General features: G+C 44.8%; 1 protein-coding gene across 1 annotated transcript in view, besides 3 other annotated features; it reads left to right on the top strand.

The window, feature by feature from the left end:
• Positions 4,558–5,088: an enhancer, noted in NCBI's record as "H3K27ac hESC enhancer chr17:60500991-60501521 (GRCh37/hg19 assembly coordinates)". NCBI's record gives its function as "activates a minimal SCP1, AML or CMV promoter by ChIP-STARR-seq in naive H9 embryonic stem cells {active_cell/tissue: H9 hESC(naive)}" and the evidence as "EXISTENCE:reporter gene assay evidence [ECO:0000049][PMID:30033119]".
• Positions 4,558–5,209: a biological region, named in NCBI's record as "H3K27ac hESC enhancer GRCh37_chr17:60500991-60501521".
• METTL2A (methyltransferase 2A, tRNA N3-cytidine) overlaps positions 4,825–21,254 on the top strand; it is a 29,489-nt gene continuing 13,059 nt past the window's right edge. The window contains exons 1-5 of the mRNA NM_181725.4: positions 4,825–4,940; positions 5,147–5,238; positions 7,227–7,582; positions 8,716–8,765; positions 16,160–16,220. Of these exons, the coding sequence (NP_859076.3) occupies positions 4,831–4,940; positions 5,147–5,238; positions 7,227–7,582; positions 8,716–8,765; positions 16,160–16,220 (669 nt within the window). The 5' untranslated portion in view covers positions 4,825–4,830. The remainder of the gene's footprint in view (positions 4,941–5,146; positions 5,239–7,226; positions 7,583–8,715; positions 8,766–16,159; positions 16,221–21,254) is intronic.
• Positions 4,840–5,209: an enhancer, noted in NCBI's record as "active region_12539". NCBI's record gives its function as "activates an Ori minimal core promoter by ATAC-STARR-seq in GM12878 lymphoblastoid cells {active_cell/tissue: GM12878}" and the evidence as "EXISTENCE:reporter gene assay evidence [ECO:0000049][PMID:35858748]".

Consider the following 21,254-nt stretch of genomic DNA (forward strand, 5'->3'; position numbering starts at 1 on the left):
GAATTGTCACACACTGTTGATGACAGTGTAAATTGGCATCTCTGTGCTGAAATATGGTATAGCAAGAGGGTACTCACCCATCCATTCATTCATCAATTATCTACTGAGTTGCATACTGTTTGCCAGACCTAGTTCTAGGACCTGGACATATAACAGTTAACAAACAAGTAAAATGACTTAACCTCACAGAGCTTAGTGATGGAGCTAATTATAACCATTGACTCAGCAATTCCTCTCCTAGAAATTAATCATAAAGAAATAATCATGAATGTACAAAATTATTTCATTACAAAGATGTACACCATGTTGAATTTTTTTCTGTTTTTTTTTCTTTCTTTTTTTTTTTGAGACAGAGTCTCACTCTGTCACCCAGGCTGGAGTGCAGTGGCGTGATCTCAGCTCACTGCAACCTCCGCCTCTAGGGTTCAAGCCATTCTTCTGCCTCACCCTCCCGAGTACCTGGGACTACAGGTGCGTACCACCATACCTGGCTAATTTTTGTATTTTTAGTAGAGACGGGGTTTCATCATGCTGACCAGGATGGTCTTGAACTCCTGACGTCGTGATCCACCTGCCTCGGCCTCCCAAAGTGCTGGGATTACAGGTGTGAGCCACTGCACCCAGCCGTTAAATTTTTAATAGTATGAAACTTAAAGTGACCTAAATGTCCAATAAAGCATGATATAGCTATACGAAACAATACCAGAAGGACATTAAGTGATGTTGTAAAAGAATATTTCGAACAAAAGAATAATGTCCCCAAGTTATTATTAAGTTAAAAAGCAGACTACAACTGCTAAGTGGCATGGGAGAACTTCAAGGCGTTGTTCTAAAACTAGATTGTGACACTGATTACACAAATACAGATTTTTATGAAAATGTATTGAACTGTACACTTAAAATGGATGAATGTAATTGGGTTTTCTTGTTGTTGTTGTTGTTGTTGTTTGAGACGGAGTCTTGCTCTGTTGCCAGGCTGGCCTGCAGTGGCACGATCTCAGCCCACTGCAACCTCCGCCTCCTGAGTTCAAGCGATTCTCCTGTCTCAGCCTCCCGAGTAGCTGGGATTACAGGCACCCACCACTGTGCCCGGCTAATTTTATTTATTTATTATTTATTTATTTATTATTTATTTTTTTTGTGTGTGAGAAGGAGTCTCGCTCTGTCGCCCAAGCTGAAGTGCAGTGACACAATCTCGGCTCACTACAACCTCCAACACCCAGGTTCAAGTGATTCTCCTGCCTCAGCCTCCTAAGTAGCTGGGACTACAGGCGTGTACCACCACCCCTGGCTAATTTTTTGTATTTTAGTAGAGATGGGGTTTCACCATGTTGGCCAGGATGGTCTCGATCTCCTGACCTCGTGATCCGCCCACCTCGGCCTCCCAAAGTGCTGGGATTACAGACGTGAGCCACCACACCCAGCCTAATTTTTGTATTTTTAGTAGAGACGGGGGTTTCACCATCTTGGTCTGGCTGGTCTCAAACTCCTGACCTCGTGATCCACCCACCTTGGTCTCCCAAAGTGCTGGGATTACAGGTGTGAGCCACTGCGCCCAGCCAGATGAATGTAATTGTTTAAAAAAAAAAGCACAAAGCATTTTGTTCTGAAACTATTTTAATGTAAAGTCACTTACATAACTAAATTAGAAAGAAAGAACTGGGATGATATAAGCCAAAGCGTTAATGAGTCAAATTAATGGTGGGAAGAAGTATTTTCTTTTGTTTTATCGATATCTTCTAAATGTTCTATAATAAAAAATCTATTTTGCAATAAGAAAACACAGGCCAGGTGCAGTGGCTCATGTCTGTAATCCCAGCACTTGGGGGAGGCCGAGGCAGACGGATTGCTCAAGACCAGGAGTTCGAGGCCAGCCTGGGCATCATGGCAAAACACTGTCTCCACAAAAAATGCAAAAATTATTGGGGTATGGTGGCACAAACCTCTAGTCCCAGCTTCTCTGTTGGCTGATGTGGGAGAATCACTTGAGCCTGGGAGGCAGAGGTTGCAGTGAGCTGTGATCGTGCCACTGTACTCCAGCCTGCGTGACAGAGTGATGCCCTATCTCAAAGAAAAAAAGGAGAAGAAAGGCCGGGTGCGGTGGCTAACGCCTGTAATCCCAGCACTTTGGGAGGCTGAGGCAGACGGATCATTTGAGGTCAGGAGTTCAATATCAGCCTGGCCAACATTGTGAAACCCGTCTCTACTAAAATGCAAAAATTAGCTGGGTGTGGTGGCGATGGCCTGTAATCTCAGCTACTCAGGAGGCTGAAGCAGGAGACTGGCTTGAGCCCGGGAGGTGGAGCTTGCAGTGAACCGAGATCATGCCACTGCACTCCAGCCTGGGCGACAGAGCTTCGTCTCAAAAAAAAAACAAAAAACAAAAAAACACAATTAACTACCCTTGTCCTTGGCTAACAACCTAAAGCAATAATCCAGAATGAGAGTTTTTAACCTTTACAAGCGTTAAACCCATGCCACCCACTGAGCTAGAAGAGTTCTCCTTACTTACCACCAGAGGGACCCTTAGTTCCTCTGAAACGTGGCGTTTCTGAAGCTACAATCCAGTATAAAGTCTGACACCAGAGAACTCACAGCCATGTCAAACTTATGAAAAATTATTTTAGGTGCTTCGAAAAATAGGTTTTACAGGCCAATCAAATATAATTGTATAAAATTAAGTTTAGGCCAGGGGCGGTGGCTCACTCCTGTAATCCCAGCACTTTGGGAGGCCGAGGTGGGTGGATCATGAGGTCAGGAGATCGAGACCATCCTGGCTAACACGGTGAAACCCTGTCTCTACTAAAAACACAAAAAATTAGCCGGGCATGGTGGCGGGCGCCTGTAGTCCCAGCTACTCGGGAGGCTGAGGCAGGAGAATGGCGTGAACCCGTGAAATAGGGAGCTTGCAGTGAGCCGAGATCACGCCACTACACTCCAGCCTGGTAGACAGTGCGAGACTCCGTCTCAAAAATAAATAAATAAAAATAAAAAATAAAGTTAAGTTTAGGATACTTTAGCACATTTCACAGAAAAAAGGCCAAAGCTGTTTGACATTTAAAATGTCTCCACTGGAACTAATATAGTAAATTAGAGTGAAGACAATGAGCTGTCTGCAAGAAAATATGCAGTGGGACTGTTGATTGGGAACACTAACAGCTTTTAGTGAGGGGAGAATAAAAGCCCATAGATGAGAAAACAAGATGCCAGAAATAAATGTAAATCAACCACCATATCTGCAAACAGCTGGCCTTGAGAAAAGATAAAAATTCCTTGTACTTGTTTCTGGGTATGGAGCTTGTGTTCAAAATGTTTCCGAAGACCACAAGAATGGCAAAAGCATATTGTCTTCAAATGAAGTACAACTTATTTACTATTTTTTTTATTAACTTGTGTATTTTTCTTCCTGATTAGAGAGGCTTAGAGCTTGTTCCCATTTCTTTGGAGGAAAAAGTATAGAATCATTCATTGCTCCCCGTAGTTTTACCTACAGAAAGAATTTACAATGGAATAAACAATTACTGGCTGGGCGCGGTGGCTCACGCCTGTAATCCCAACACTTTGGGAGACCGAGGCGGGCAGATCATTTGAGGTCAGGAGTTTGGGACCAGCCCAGGCAACATGGTGAAACCCCATCTCTACTAAAAATACAAAAATTAGCTGAGTGTGGTAGCGCGCACCTGTAATCCCGGCTACTCAGGAGGCTGAGGCAGGAGAACCACCTGAGCCCAGAACATGGAGGTTATAACGAGCTGAGATCCGGCTACTGCACTCTAGCCTGGGAAACAGAGCAAGACTCCGTCTCAAAAAAAAAAAAAAGTACTAATTACCCATGTGCTATGTCTAGCACTGCACTAACCCTTTCCTTTTTTAAAAAAATTCATCTTTCCCTTTATTCTGACATTATGACATTAAATAAAGTCCAAGAGGTATTGGGCTGGTCCTTGTTTGGTCTCTGCCCTTTCCTTCTTTTCCAAGTGGTATTCATCATGCTTCTCTTGGAAGTCTTCTCAAATAACCTTATGTCTATAACATACTTTCTTCTAGATTCTTTTGAGAGTCTATTTGTGTTAGATCTAGAAATAGAAATGTAAGGCTGAAATGTATTACTATGACAAACTGTTTGTATGTGTGTATTACAATCTTAATTGTGCTAATAAGGATAATTATAATAAATATGCATGATTCAAAAAGGTTAGATGGTTATAATTTAAAAAAAAATTGTCCTTGGATATTCCATTTGATTTGCTAAGCCTCGTGTTCTCTAATTTCATATCTCCATCTCCCCCTACCCCAACCAAAATATATATACACACTGTGTATACATATACACCCACACTATTAAGAGCTGAATATAGAAGCTGGAAATTGCCCTGTTTCTTCCCGCTGCTTGCTACCTTCTTCAGTTCTGGACATCGGCTCCGCAGTGGAACTAGGTAGCCTCAACTCTTATAATGATTCAAGATTTTTCCTGTTTTATAACTTGAGGGAAGCTGGGGAACCTGTTAAGAGGATCCCAGCATTGAACTGGGTCTCAAGTGGAATGTCTCCCACTTTCTGCCTAACCTGCACGTCCATCAGCACCTCATCAATGAGAAACGACTCCTCCGGGGAGAATTTCCCCCTGCCTGGTCCCCTCTCCTAGAGAGCCCTTCGCCAACCCTGGGACAGCCCCAAACGACAGCTCCCGAGCGCCACCCGGACCAGACTCCAGTGCCGCCCTGTCCCGCCACCCTTTTTCCCGCCCAGACTCCGCGTCTTCTGAAAGAGGGCGTGGTCCGCAGGAAGTTCTCACGTTACGGAAAGTAAAGTGTTTCCGGCTCCGGTGTCATGGCCGGCTCCTACCCTGAAGGTGCACCTGCAGTCCTCGCCGATAAGAGGCAGCAGTTCGGAAGCCGGTTCCTGAGAGATCCGGCGCGCGTCTTCCACCACAATGCCTGGTAATCACTCTGCCCCTTCGCCCGGCCTGTCGCTGACCCTCTGTCCCGCCGCCTCGGAGCACTCCGAAAAGCCCCTGACCGCCGGCCACGAGTCAAGCTGCCCTACCCGAGGCACTCTCCAAGGGGAGAGAAACTCCTAGGCCAGCGACTCACCCTGCCCGCAGCCAGGACGTGAGGCCCCTAAGCTGCCCGTTTGATTTTCTCAGGGACAATGTGGAGTGGTCGGAAGAGCAAGCCGCGGCGGCGGAGAGAAAAGTCCAGGAGAACAGTATCCAGCGGGTGTGCCAGGAGAAACAAGGTGCGCTTAAATGGGCTCTCATTGGTATCAACAGCCAGCGTACTGCCGAACGCGCCCTCCCGGAGAGGCCAGGGAACCGCGGCCGCCCAGATCCTTTATTCCTGGCCTGATGCAGATCTCAGGAGTAGAGCGGGACAGGGAGGGGATGAGCAAGGAGAGAAAAGGGCTGCATTGTAACAAAATCTTAAGTCGTAGAGGGTTTTTTTATATATAGTTTTACTTTGGAGGAGGGTAATGTTGTCTTTAATTATGTTTAGTAGATCCACGTTGATATGGCTAGCCAATGACAACTGTGTGGTCACGCGATCATCTTAGAACCTGTACTTTTTACTTGATTTGCATTTTCCATGAGGAGATGTTTTCCATTGAAGCTTCATTGAAGTGATTAGATTCTAAATATTGTTGGGAGGGGGGCTAGTGACTGGTGACTGTGTGTCTATTACTTGTGTGATGGTTATGAGAATTTAGGGCTTTAGTCAAGGAAAGGTGGATGCAGCAGAGTGGAGATAAGTCTGGCCAAAGAAAAGGAGGCCCCTGCTTGAGAGGTGGATGATTTCACTGCAAAATATCCCTAGATAGTAAAACTAGGACTGATTGTTCCAGACAATTGAAGATAGGACTACAAATTTAGTACCCGCTGAAAGAGTTCTGTACAACAAAAAGATTCCAGTTACAAAACATTCACCCTGCATATTTTGACAGCAACTAGATCAAAGCAAGTTAATAGTTGAAAGGGATTTTGAAAATCATGTGGTTCAATATTCTCTTTTTATAGTTAAAGACACTTGGACCACAGGACATTAAGTGCTTTTCCCAGAGGTAAGCAGTCAGTAGTAGCAGTAGTGGAACTAAAATCCTGTTTCTTAGGGAGTCTTGGTTGATTCAGCAGGTGAGTTGTGAGTTGTTAACACACTTCTTAGTGGATTCCAACTTCCATTGTCACTGTCCTGCTCAATTTGTTAGGTTTTTATTCTTTCTACTACACTAGTCAAGGCCCCCTGAATTGGCAAGAGCAGTAAACTGAAATCTGGGACTGTCATGATCACCTTAAAAACAGCCTTCATTTAAACTGTCCATACTTTTTTTTTTTTTTTGGAGATGGAGTCTCGCTCTGTCACCAGGCTGGAGTGCAGTGGCACGATCTCAGCTCGCTGCAATCTCCTCCTCCCTGGTTCAAGCGATTCCCCTGCCTCAGCCTCCCTAGTAGCTGGGACTACAGGTGTGCACCACCACGCCTGGCTAATTTTTTGTATTTTAGTACAGACGGGGTTTCACCGTGCTGGCCAGGATGGTCTCGATCTCCTGACCTCGTGATCCGCCCACCTCAGCCTCCCAAAGTGCTGGGATTACAGGCATGAGCCACTGCACCTGGCTACTTCTAGGATTTTTTAATAGTTAAAAGTCATCTGGCTGGGCGCGATGACTCATGCCTGTAATCCCAGCACTTTGGGAGGCCGAGGCGGGTGGATCACGAGGTCAGGAGATCGAGACCATCCTGGCTAACACGGTGAAACCCCGTCTGTACTAAAAAATACAAAAAATTAGCCGGGCGTGGTGGCAGGCGCCTGTAGTCCCAGCTACTCAGTAGGATGAGGCAGGAGAATGGCATGAACCCGGGAGGTGGAGCTTGCAGTGAGCCAAGATTGCGCCCCTGCACTCCAGCCTGGGTGACAGAGCGAGACTCTGTCTCAAAAAAAAAAAAAAAGGCATCCAAAGATGTAGGAGGACACTTGATAGATAGTAAGTTCTCTGGTTGATTGTTCAAACAGAATTTAGACTCTCCTATAATGACGGATAGGGGCATTAGGGTATAATGCCAGATGGCAGGACTAAATGACCTCAGAAATGCCTTCAGTTCTGGGACTGTGGCTCTACCTGAGGATACTTTTAGTATTAAAGTGACATTTGGTAAAGCAGGATAATTGATATTAGATATAAATAAAACATTTGAGAGCTGGTTCTTAAAATTTTTTCTTAAATATTTACAGTTGATTATGAGATCAATGCCCACAAATACTGGAATGACTTCTACAAAATCCACGAAAATGGGTTTTTCAAGGATAGACATTGGCTTTTTACCGAATTCCCTGAGCTGGCACCTAGCCAAAATCAAAATCATTTGAAGGACTGGTTCTTGGAGAACAAGAGTGAAGTACCTGAATGTAGAAACAATGAGGATGGACCTGGTTTAATAATGGAAGAACAGCACAAGTGTTCTTCAAAGAGCCTTGAACATAAAACACAGACACTTCCTGTGGAGGAGAATGTAACTCAGAAAATTAGTGACCTGGAAATTTGTGCTGATGAGTTTCCTGGATCCTCAGCCACCTACCGAATACTGGAGGTAACCTTTTATTGTCTTGGTAGTGGGATATGTGAAGCTATTATATTTGTGCACATGAGGTAGCATAGAGAGGCTGACAACAAAAGTAACTTCTATTGGATGATGCTGACTAGACTTGACCCTTATATTAGCCTGGAATCACCTCCATTTTTGAACTGATAAAATGCCCTCAATGCAGACCAGATATCTGGTAGTCATGACGGACAAAGATCACACGAGAATAGCATGTCACTTCCAAAAATTGTATTAATGGCATCATGCTGTACCTGTCACATGCCACTGCATCATACAGGTGAAGGAGCTCAACATGATCATGCTATAACTCTGGAAAAAAGTCCCAGATCAGAAGAAATTGTTGCTTCTCTTCTAATACAGTTACAGGAATGGAGAGGGTAGTTAGGATGGTGCCTGTTTCTTAGGCCTGGGATAATTCTCTTCCTCTGCATTTGGATGGTGTTGCAGAGTCTAGACCTGGAAAAATGTCTAGATTGGTATAATGTAAATTCATAAATGGGGACTGCGCACGTTACTGGAAGCTGGTTCTGGAACTGGTCAGCCTTGGGATTGAGTCCTATGGTGTGATCTTAGACAATTTCCTTACCCTCTCTGAGCAGTGAGACTGCTGCCTCTGCACTTTATAGTTATGAGGATGGAGATAATGTATGTAAAAGGGCTAAGAACAGTATCTGGCACATAGTTAAGCCCTTAATAAATAGTTGCTGTCTTCATTACCACGCAGCACTGTGTTTAGGACAAGGTTGTCAGGGTCCCCTTTTCATACATTTTTCAGCACAGTCTATTACAAATATTTTCACAATAATAATATAAGCTCAGTAAGAAAATACTTCATCTACAGGACCATTTGCTAGAACTCAAAAGATAAAAGCAATCCTTGCCCTTTTTTCTAGACCACCTCGTTTCTGCTAATAAAAACCCGTGCTCTTGTCTTTTAAGGGTTCCTGAAGTCAACATCAAAATCAACAAATGTCATGAGTACTGTTTAGCTCTGGTCACTACACCTTCCCTAATACAGTTAGGCCAGATTCTTGTTGATTATTATTTTTCTAGCTTTTCTAGCTTTAGGGAATTAACTCTGGAAAGTTCTGTGATTAATAGTTCATTTCTGTCTGCAGGTTGGCTGTGGTGTGGGAAACACAGTCTTTCCAATTTTACAAACGAACAAGTAAGTATGTTGTAAAAGTTTATGATAGCAAAGAAGATAAAAGTGAAGGTTGGCTGGGCGCATTGCTTCACGACAGTAATCCCAGCACTTTGGGAGGCCAAAGCAGGATTGCTTGAGGCCAGGAGTGTGAGACCAGCCAGGGCAATGTAGCAAGAAAAAAAAGTAAAGGTTTTTTCAAAACTTGCTGCATCAAACTATCAGTAATGGTTATTGGAAAATATGGATTATGTCAGATTCAGATTTCTACATTGTTCATTTATGGATTGTTTTAATTTGATTATCTTTGTCATTTGGAAAATTAGACTTAAAACTTGCTAGTGTTAACATTTAGCGCCTTCTTCTTCTTCTAAGGAACAAATGTGTTCAACTTTTCCATTCTCATGATCTCTGAAGAACAGTCAGTGGCTGAGTTGTCATCACCCCCATGGTAGAGTTGAGAAAGCTAACATACATGAAGATGTCTCCTGTTCTGATGAAAACACACTGGTTTTGTGTACTTAAACAGAACGCTTCTGACACCAAATGTGCGGGGTTTTTGCCAACACTGACCAATTCAAAAACAGCTGGGTGTCCTACAATTCAATTCTGACACTGTCTACTTGGAGTTGGTGTCAGATCCCACAAGTTAAGGGTTCGGTCCCAGAAGACTGCCCCCCACTTCAGATGCCAGTTGTGAATCTGGCCCTCCGTGTTTCTGCCCTACAGGCTGTAAATCAGGGTAGCCCTATCTCCAGTTCAATAATTTCCTAGAATGGCTCACAGAACTCAGGGAAACACTTTACTTACATTTATGTGTTTGTTATGAAGGATACAGATTAACAGCCAGCTGAAGAAGTAATTAGAGTGGGGTTCAGAGGATCTCACGCTCAGGAGCTTTGACCCTGAGGAGCTCAGTGCAGTGTCCTCCTAGCACACGGATGTGTTCACCAACCTGGAAGCTCATCAAGGGGTTTTTTTTAGTTTTGAGACAAGCTCTTGTTCTGTCATCCCGACTAGCGCACAGTGGTGCGCCCATAGCACACTGCAGGCTCAAACTCCTAGGCTCAAGCAATCCTCTCACCTCAGCCTCCCAAGTAGCTGGGACTACAGACACATGCCACCATACCCAGCTAATTTTTGTTTATTTTTTGTAGAGACAGGGTCTCACTTTGTTGCCCAGACTGGTCTCAAACTCCTGGGCTCAAGTGATCCTCTTGCCTCGGCCTCCCAAAGTGCTGGAATTACATGCATAAGTCACCGTTCCCAGCCTCAAGAGTTTTTATACAGCTAGGACACAGACTCATGGGAAAATTAATTTTAAAAGGAGAAGAAGAAAATAGTTTTCATACAACATAATCTGCATTTCTATTCAGGACATTGGTGGGTGAAGCTGAAAGTTCCAATCGGTTTGCCCTTACTAGTGTTGGCCCCACCCCAGGTCATCTCATTAAATTCAGTGTGGTCCTGAGGGAGTTCATTATGAATAACAAAAGATACAGAGTCTTGCTTCATCACCCAGGTTGGAGTGCAGTGGCACAATCTCGACTCATTGCAACCTCCGCCTTCCGGGTTCAAGTGATTCACCTGCCTCAGCCTCCCTAGTAGCTGGGATTAAGGGTGCATGCCACCACACACAACTAATTTTTATATTTTTAGTAGAGACAGGGTTTCACCACATTGGCCAGGCTGGTCTCAGACTCCTGACCTCAGGTGATCCACCTGCCTCGGCCTCCCAAAGTGCTGGGATTATATGTGTGAGCCACCGCGCCCAGCCTGCTGAGGAAATTCTTAAGGTTTTTGGAACTCTGTGCCTGGAACCACAAAGACCAACACCAGATATATTTATTATACCATATCTGTTTTGTTTTGTTTGAGATGGAGTCTTGCTCTGTTGCCCAGGCTGGAGTGCAGTGGCGTAATCTTGGCTCACTGCAACCTCTGCCTCCTGGGTTCAAGCGATTCTCCTGCCTCAGCCTCCCAAATACCTGGGATTACAGGCATGCGCCACAATGCCCAGCTAATTTTTGTATTTTTAGTAGAGATGGGGTTTTGCCATGTTGGCTAGGCTGGTCTCGAACTCCTGACCTCAAGTGATCCACCCACCTCAGCCTCCCAAAGTGCTGGGATTACAGGCGTGAGCCATGGCTCCCGGCCCTATAGCTGTTTTTAAACCCCTTGTGGAAATGACATTCCAGTTCTGTATGCATTACTGGAATCCACTGTTTCTCAAAGGTTTCATATAATATATACTTTGCCAATTTAGCCCACAGTATTCATTAACAGGATTAAGTAAAACATTAGCCTCATTACTAATATACACTTAAATATTTCTACAATTTGTTCTCAGAAATTTCTAAGAAAATGGCAAGTCCTAGTAGCTAACACTGAAGAAAAGAGATTGTTCTGCTCTTGAAGTTACAGTCTGAGGAACCCACCTCAAATGGGAGATTGACTTAGCTTCAAGTTATGGCCATTAATTATCAATATCATCAATGCATGTAAAATAATGTAGATGGCATCTTTGCCACAGCCTCTTTATGCCATTTAAATAAGATCGCTGTGTTCAATATCTTGCTAGAACCCACTTGTTCATGTAATTCACTGGCTTAGAATTGACATGTTTTCTACTGCCTGTGAATCAGGTTTAAATTGTTGGGCATAGTTTTCAAAGTCCTCTACAAGAGTGTGCCCTATAAAGTATGTCCTCTTATCCCTCAGTGCACTGGTCACACCTTGCATGTCTTCCCCTGACTCCGTACCTTTCCAAAATGTCCTTTGTTTCTACTACACTATTTCCTTCCTTCCTCACATTCTAGATCAGAAGCATCTAGAAAACTTCCCTAGTTGTTATCGTCCAGCTGCCTCACTCTGCAGTCTTTTTTGAGACAGTCTCACTCTGTCACCCAGGCTGGAGTGCAGTGATTCGATCTCGGCTAGCCTCAACCTCCGCCTCCCAGGTTCAAGCAATTATCCTGCCTCAGCCTCCCGAGTAGTTGGGATTACAGGTGCCCACCACCACGCCCAGCTAATTTTTGTATTATTGATTGATTGATTGATTGGTTGATTGAGACAGAGTTTTGCTCTTGTTGCCCAGGCTGGAGTGCAGTGGTGCGATCTTGGCTCACCGCAACCTCCGCCTCCTGGGATCAAGCAATTCTCCTGCCTCAGCCTCCCAAGTAGCTGGGATTACAGGCATGTGCCACCATACCCAGCTAATTTTGTATTTTTAGTAGAGACGGGGTTTCTCCATGTTGGTCAGGCTGGTTTCGAACTCCCGACTTCAGGTGATCCACCCGCCTCAGCCTCCCAAAGTGCTGGGATTACAGGTGTGAGCCACTGCACCCAGCTAATTTTTGTACTTTTTAGTAGAGATGAGCTTTCACCATGTTGGCCAGGCGGGTCTCGAACTCCTGACCTCAGGTGATCCACCCACGTCGGCCTCCCAAAGTGCTGGGATTACAGGCATGAGCCACCATGCCCAGCCCACTCTGCAGTCTTTACAGCCTTTTTATGTTTCTTGAGTTACCCTATTGCCTGGATCCTTTTTTTTTTTCTTTTGAGACAGGATTTCTGTCACCCAAGCTGGAATGCAGTGGTGCCATCACAGCTCACTGTAGCTTCAACCTTCCAGGGTTCAGGTGACCCTCCCACCTCAGCCTCCCAAGTAGCTGGGACAACAGGCGTGTGCCACCACCCCTGCTAATTTTTGTCTTTTTTGTAGAAACGGGGTTTTGCCATGTTGCCCAGGCCAGGGTTCTTAATATTTTTTTAATGTATCTGATAAAGCCTTAGGATCATTTCTCAGGCTAATGTATTTTTCATTTGTTTTCTTTTTATATATAGCAGCTTTATTGAGATATAAAGTGTATAATACAGTGGTTTTTTTGTTTGGTTGGTTTTCGTTTTGTTTTGTTTTGGTTTTGAGATGGCATCTTGCCCTGTTGCCCAGGCTGGAATGCAGTGGCACGATCTTGGCTCACTGCAACCTCTGCCTCCCAGTTTCAAGCGATTCTCCTGCCTCAGCCTCCTGAGTAGCTGGGATTACAGGCGCCCGCCACCACACCCAGCTAATTTTTGTATTTTTAGAAGAAATGGGGATTCACTGTGTTGGCCAGGCTGGTCTCAAATTCCTGACCTCGTGATCTGCCTGCCTCGGCCTGCCAAAGTGCTGGGATTACAGGCGTGAGCCACCGCACCTGGCCGTAATACAGTGGTTTTAAGTTAATTCACAGAGTTGTGCAGCCATCACTGCAGTCAACTTCAGGACATTTTCATCATCCCAAAAAGAAGCCCTATACCCATTAGCAGTCACTCCCCATTTCCCAATTTCCCCCAATCTCTAGCCCTAAGCAACCACTACTCTACAAATGCACAAATCTATATAGCTTTATCTTGGGCTAATTTTAAGTATATGAAGTAAAATAGAGAAAACCAATTATTTTGAAATACAGTTCTATCCTCAGAGCCCAATTAAGGACTCTGATTTTAAAAATAATACTCTTAGCCCTTCATATTCACCTTTTCTGCATCCGAGGATTCAAGCAATCATGGATTGAAAATAAATAGTGTAGGCCAGGCGCAGTGGCCCATGCCTATAATCCCAGCACTTTGGAAGGCCAAGGAGATAGGATCACCTGAGCCCAGGAGTTCAGGACGAGCCTGAGCAACATAGTGAGACCCTGTCTCTACAAAAAAATTAGCCGCCAGGCGCTGTGGCTCACACCTGTAATCCCAGCACTTTGGGAGGCCAAGACGGGCAGATCACAAGGTCAGGAGATGGAGACCATCCTGGCTAACACAGTGAAACCCCGTCTCCACTCAAAATACAAAAAAAAATTAGCCGGGCATGGTGGCAGGCACCTGTAGTCCCAGCTACTTGGGAGGCTGAGGCAGGAGAATGGCGTGAACCTGGGAGGCGGAGCTTGCAGTGAGCGGAGATTGCACCACTACACTCCAGCCTGGGTGACAGAGTGAGACTCCGTCTCAAAAAAAAAAAAATTGCCAAGCATGCTGGCATGCACCTGTAGTCTCAGCTACTTTGGAGGCTGAGGCCAGAGGATTGGTTGGGGCTGCAGTGAGCCATGATCACACACACCACTGTACTCCAGGTGACAGAGCAAGACCCTGTCTCAAAAATCAATCAATAATACAACAATTTTTAAAAATATAACTGTTTACATAGCATTTATATTAGGCATTATAGATGATTTAATGTATGCAGGAGGATGTGTGTGGGTTGTATGCAAATGCTACACCCGACACCATTGTGTAAGAGACTTGAGCTGGATACCAAGGGACAACTATATGACCTGTAGAAAACTTAAAGAAAAGCACAGGCCAGGCGTGGTGGCTCACTCTTGTAATCCCAGCACTTTGAGAGGCCAAGGTGGGCAGATCACCTGAGGTCAGGAGTTCAAGCCCAGCCTGGCTAACATGGCAAAACCCCATCTTTACTAAAAATACAAAAATTAACCAGGTGTGGTGGTGGGCGCCTGTAATCCCAGCTACTCAGGAAGCTAAGGCAGGAGAATGGCTTGGACCCAGGAGTGGAGGTTGCAGTGAGCTGAGACCACACTATTGCACTCCAGCGTGGGTGACAAAAGCAAAACTCCATCTCAAAAAAAAAAGAAAAGCACAAAGAGGCCAGGCACGGTGGCTCATGCCTGTAATCTGAACACTTTGGGAAGCCAAAGTGGGCAGATTACTTAAGGTCAGGAGTTCAAGACCAACCTAGTCAACATGGTGAAACCCCGTCTCTCCTAAAAATACAAAAATTAACAGGGCATGGTGGTGGGCACCTGTAGTTCCAGCTACTCAGGAGGCTGAGGCCAGAGAATCACTTGAACCTGGGAGGCAGAGGCTTCAGTGAGCTGAGATTGCGCCACTGTACTCCAGCCTGGGTGACACAGCTGAGACCTCGTGTCTCAAAAAAAAAAAAAAGAAAAACATAAGAAAACAACGCTTGCCAGGCGCGGTGGCTCACCCCTGAAATTCCAGCACCTTGGGAGGCCAAGGCAGGTGGATCACCTGAGGTCAGGAGTTTGAGACTAGCCTGGCCAACATGGTGAAACCCCGTCTCTACTAAAAATACAAAAATTAGCTGGGCACGGTGGTGCGCACCTGTAATCCGAGCTACTTGGGGGGCTGAGGTGGGAGGATCACTTGAACCCAGGAGGCAAAGACTGCAATGAGTCTTTGAGAAAGCAGAAGCTGAGTCTGATAGAACTTAGCCCGTGACCTTAATGGGTACTCGGCAGATGCAGCTGCCTGGCTGATTAGAGAACAGGACAGGCATGGACCCTGCTTTCGGAGCAGTGCTGTGGAATAGAACTTTGTGCAGTGACGGAAATGTTCTGCATCTTCACTCTCCCTTATGATGGTCAGTAGCCACGTGTGAAATGTATCTAATGGGACTGAGAAACTAAATTTTTAATTTAAGTAGCCACAGGTAGCTAGTGATTACCATAGCAAATGCTGCAGTTCCCCAGGTTTTTAGTCTTGATTATACCTCCCAGAAGTCGTCTGCTCCAAAGGTCAACAGTTCAGCAGGAAGCAGAGCCCATGCCTTTGAGAGGCTGGAGGTATTGCATACTCCCAAAAATCCCAGGGGCTCACTCATAATGAGCCCAACAGTGCAGAAGAGTTCTGGGCTGTTGTTTCTAAAATGCAAGCATACAGCCTTCCTCCTCTCCCATTTTCATTTAGACCTGTACTAACAGAATTCTGGCATTACAAATTGTTTTGTATTTTGATGTCTTCAGAATAAATATATAATGTGCTTCATAATTGAAAGCAATTTTGATGGTTTTAAAATCAACATTTTTTGTGTTGCTACCTTGTGCTGAGACTTGTGCTAGATAGTGAGGATACCAAGAAAAATAAGCACAGGGATTTTGTGTTGTTCATCTTTATCTCCTCAGCATCTAAGATAATACCCAATGCATAGTGGGCTCTCAGTAGTGTTTGGTGAACTAATAAGCGAAAGATATAATCGCCACTGTCAAAGCACTCACTCACTATGTGGTGGGGGCCAACAGACAGGTACAGATGTGTTCCTGGTGTGGAGAAAGTGCCAGGGTGGCTCAGCGAAGAAAAAAGAATTCTTGTGGTGCTATCAAGCAAGGCTTCATTTGAGGGAAAAGTAGGATTTCTGTAGGTGGAAAAAGAGAAGACATTGATTTGAAACTCCCTGGTTGTTTTATAAACTTCATATTAGCTATGTCCACAGAGCCTCCAAAAGGATATAATTCAAAAGGGATTTTAACCAAAATGAAATATGTTGTGACTAATAGATACAGTTTATTTGAATGAATGATAGTTTTTCCCATTTGATATTTTAACTGTGCTACACAAGAATGAGAGTAGACATAGCTCGATTTGTAGTCTCATTGTTCTGTCTTTTCTGCCCATTTCAGTGACCCAGGACTCTTTGTTTATTGCTGTGATTTTTCTTCCACAGCTATAGAACTGGTCCAGGTGAGTACAATGGGAAATTACCTATTGGTAATTTCCACTGATTAAAGGGAAAAGGTTCTCCTAAAAATCAAGGTCTCTGGCTGTGTTCTTATACAGTCTGTGTTCTTACGGTCTAAAAGTAAAAGATTTACTGATAACGAGCATACCTTGTTTTATTGCAGTTCACTTTATCACACTGTATAGATGTCGTATCTGTTCATATATTGAAAGTTTGTGGCAACCCTGCATCAAGCAAGCCTACCGGTGCCATTTCTCCACCACCATATGCTCACTTAGTATCTATGTGTCATGCTTTGGTGATTCTCAGAATATTTCAGACTTTTTTACTGTTATGTATGTTATAGTGTGTGATGTTACTGTTGTACTTGGTTTGGGGTTCCACAAATCACATCTGTGTAAGACGGTCAACTTAATAAATGCATGCGTTGTGACTGCTCCACCAACCTGCCATTCCATTTCTCTCCCTCTCCTCAGGTCTCCTTGTTCTCTAAGACACAATATTGCAATTAGGCCACTTCATACTCTACAGTGTCCTCTGTGTGTTCAAGTGAAAGGAAGAGTTTCACCACGTTGCCCAGGCTGGTCTCGAATGATAGCTTACACTTGTGTTGTAATTATTAAATTTAATACACAATTGCATAAACTAATGAAATACGATTGCATGCTGGTGCGGTGACTCATGCCTGTAATCCCAGCACTTTGGGAGGCCGGGGTGGGCAGATCACGAGGTCAGGAGTTCAAGACCAGCCTGACCAAGTGAAACCCTGTCTCTACTAAAAATACAAAAAAATTAGCCGGGCTAAAAATACAAAAAATGGCGCATACCTGTAATTTCAGCTACTCAGGAGGCTGAGGCAGGAGAATCACTTGAACTCAGGAGGTGGAGGTTGCAGTGAGCTGAGATCGCGCCACTGCACTCCAGCTAGACAACAGAGTGAGACTCCATCTCAAAAAAATAAAAATACATTATTGGTCGGCCACAATGGCTTAATGCCTGTCATCCCAACACTTTGGGAGGCTGAGGCAGACAGATCACTTGAGATCAGGAGTTCAAGACTGGCCTAGGCAACATGGTGAAACCCCATCTCTACTAAAGAAAAATACAAGAAATTATCCAGGCATGGTGGTGGGCACCTGTAGTCCCAGCTACTCAAAAGGCTGAAGCAGGAGAATCGCTTGAACTGGGGAGGCAAAGGTTGCAGTCAGCCAAGATTGTGCCACTGCACTCCAGTCTGGGCGACAGTGAGACTCCATCTCAAAAAAAAGAGAGAGAAAGAAAAAAAAATAGTTTATTGCTAAAACATGTTAATAATCATCTAAACCTTCAGCAAGTTGTAATCTTTGCTAGTGGACGGTCTTGCCTTGATATTGATGGCTGCTGACTGATCAGGGTGGTGATTGCCAAGGGTTGGGGTGGTCGTTGCTAAGGGCTGGGGTGACTGGCAATTTCTTAAAATAAGGTAACAGTGAAGTTTACCGTATCATTTGGCTCTTCCTTTCATGAAAGATTTCTCCGTAGCATGCGATGCTGATAGGATTTTGCCCACAGTAGAGCTTCTTTCAAATTGAAGTCCATTCTCTCAAACCCTGCTGCTGCTTTATCAACTAAGTTTGATGCCATTTCAAAACAAAAAACCTTTCTTGCCATTTCTAAACAATGTTCATAGCATCTTTACTGGAGTAGATTTGATCTCAATAAACCACTTTCTTTGCCCAACCGTAAGAAGCAACTCCTTATAGATAAGGATGCTGGTTTAAAAAGAAAGAAAGAAAGAAAGAATAAGACTAAAAAACAAGCAGCAACAAGATTGCAGCAATTCAGTCACATCTTCAGGCTTCACTTTTTTTTTTTTTTTTTTTTTGAGACAGGGTCTCACTGTGTTGCCCAGGCTGAAGTAGAGTGACACAATCATAGCCCACTGTAGCCTTGAATTTTGGGCTCAGGCGAACCTGATGAGATGATTCCATTGGGGTTCTTTGAGTTACAAGTAACAGAAACGTCTAGACAAACTCAAAGCAATAAAGTAGAATGTCATAGAACCTAAGGGCACAAAATACAGCCCCAAGTTCCTGGTATCTTACCTGTCATTGTCCAGGGCCCATTTGTTTTTTCCCTCTTTGCATACCAGTTTTCTCTAGTCAGTATTTCCTAATTTTGCACGCGGCCCCAACGTGCTTGCTCCTCCCAGTCCCTTACAAGCTCACCCTGTTCAGGGGTTCATGGTGCCTCACTAAAATGATTGTGTCCCAGTTCTGAAGTCCCTGGAAAGTCTAGTTAACACAACCTAGCTGATAAATACAGCAGCCCTGTTTGAATCAGCTTTGGCCAATGAGAAACAAACTCACATATTTGCAGAAGACGGACATTGAGGGTAGATGCCTTAAAATGTATCTGTTATGGCTGGGGTCAGTGGCTCACACCTGTCATCCCAGCACTTTGGGAGGCCAAGGCCAGCGGATCACGAGGTCAGGAGTTCGATACCATCCTGACCAATATGGTGAAACCCCGTCTCTACTAAAAATGTGAAATTTAGCTGGGTTTGGTGGCACGCACCTGTTGTCCCAGCTACTTGGGAGGCTGAAGCAGAAGAATCGCTTGAACCCAGGAGGCGGAGGTTGCAGTGAGCCGAGATCGCACCACTGCACTCCAGCCTGGGTGACAGAGCAAGACTCCATCTCAAAAAAAAAAAAATGTGTCTGTTACAATTGGCCGGGCATGGTGGCCAGCACTTTGGGAGGCTGAGGTGGGCAGATCACTTGAGGTCAGGAGTTCAAGACCAGCCTGGCCAACATGGTGAAACCCTGTCTCTACTTTAAAAAACACAAAAACTAGGCCGGGTGCAGTGGTTCATGCCTGTAATCCCAGCACTTTGGGAGGCTAAGACGGGCAGATCATCTGAGGTCAAGAGTTCCAGATCAGCCTGGCCAATATGGTGAAACTCCATCTCTACTAAAAATACAAAAATTAGCCAGGTATGGTGGTAGGTGCCTGTAGTCCCAGCTACTCGGGAGGCTGAGGCAGGAGAATCGCTTGAATCTGGGAGGCAGAGGTTGTAGTGAGCCAAGATCACGCCATTGCACTCCAGCCTGGGCTACAAGAGTGAAACTCCATCTCAAAAAAAAAAAAAAAAATACAAAAACTGGCAGGACGTGGTGGCATGCACCTGTAATCCCAGCTACTGGGGAGGCTGAGGCAGGAGAATTGCTTGAACCTGGGAAGCAGAGGTTGCAGTGAGCCGAGATCGCACCACTCCAGCCTGGGCAACAGAACAAGACTCTGTTTCAAAAAAAAAAAAAAAAAAGAGTCTGTCACAATTATGTACAATGCTGTTAGGGCAGATTAGGAATTGGTAGTGCCATGCTTTTAGAATTATTATTCAGTTAAAGACCAAATGAATATTGAAGCCTACCTTTACTTCAGTTTTTGATAACAAAGTAAATTTTCTACATCTACAGAAATAGATTTTCCTGAAGAATTCTATGGTTTGTGTAATATTTTCTAGTTGGGAGTTGTTTTAAATCGTGTGCTTTGTTGTTTGTTTTGAGACAGGGTCTCAGTCACTCAGGCTGGAGTGCGGTGGTACAATCAAACTCACTGTGGCCTTGATCTCCTGGGCTCAAGTGATTCTCCCACCTCCTGTGTAACTGGGACTATGGGCACATGCCACCACACTTGGCTAATTTTTTTTTTTTTTTTTTTTTTTGCGACGGAGTCTAGCTCTGTCGCCCAGGCTGGAGTGCAGTGGCGTGATCTTGGCTCACTGCAACCTCCGCCTCCCAGGTTCAAGCGATTCTCCTGCCTCAGCCTCCAGAGTAGCTGGGATTACAGGCGGGTGCCACTGCACCCAGCTAATTTTTTTGTATTTTTAGTAGAGACGGGGTTTCACTGTGTTGGCCAGGCTGGTTTTGAACTCCTGACCTCAGGTAATCCTCCCACCTCGACCTCCCAAAGTGCTAGGATTACAGGCATGCACCCGGCATTTTTTTATTTTTTGTAGAGATGAAGTCTCACTATGTTGCCTAGCTGGTCTCAAACTCCTGGGCTCAAGTGATCCTCCTGCCTCAGCCTCCCAGGGTGCTGGGATTCTAGGCGTGAGCCACCGTGCCTAGCAGATCGTGCTTTTGGTTTGTTTGTTTGTTTGTTTTTGTTTTTGTTTTTGAGACGGAGTCTCCCTCTGTCGCCCAGGCTGGAGTGCAGTGGTGCCATCTCAGCTTACTGAAAGCTCCGCCTCCCGGGTTCACGCCATTCTCCTGCCTCAGCCTCCCGAGTAGCTGGGACTACAGGCACCTGCCACCACGCCCGGCTAATTTTTTGTATTTTTAGTGGAGACGGGGTTTCACCATGTTAGCCAGGATGGTCTCCATCTCCTGACTCATGATCCGCCTGCCTCGGCCTCCCAAAGTGCTGGGATTACAGGCGTGAACCACCGCGTGCTTATTTAAAGTATGTGCTGTCTCTCTCCTTACGAATGTTTTTTTTTCCCTGTTGGTCACTCATTTTCATGATCGTTTTCCAATTCTTAGATCTGACTTCATGCATGAGAAGTACAGAAAGTACACAAGAATAAAGAATAAAAGTAGGGGAGTCAGGAATGTTCTATTTTAAAAGCAACTATTAGATTCCTCACTGTCTCCCTTCAATTATTCCTGATCTTTACTCTTTGAGTCCTCCCTGAAATAACATGCTATTAGATTGATGCAAAAGTAATTGTCGTTTTTGCCGTTACTTTTTTTTTTTTTTTCTTTTTTTTAGATGGAGTTTCACTCTTGTTGCCCAGGCTGGAGTGCAATGGTGCAATCTCGGCTCACTGCAACCTCTGCCTCCTGGGTTCAAGCGATTCTCCTGCCTCAGCCTCCCGAGTAGCTGGGATTATAGGCATGTGCCACCACACCCAGCTAATTTTGTATTTTTAGTAGAGATGGGGTTTCTCCATGTTGGTCAGGCTGGCCTCGAACTCCTGATCTTAGGTGATCCTCCCGCCTTGGCCTCCCAAAGTGCTGGGATTACAGGCATGAGTCTCCACATCCTTGCCA

The sequence above is a fragment of the Homo sapiens genome, chromosome 17 (assembly GCF_000001405.40).
Source record: "Homo sapiens chromosome 17, GRCh38.p14 Primary Assembly".
NCBI classification, from domain to species: Eukaryota; Metazoa; Chordata; class Mammalia; order Primates; family Hominidae; genus Homo; species Homo sapiens.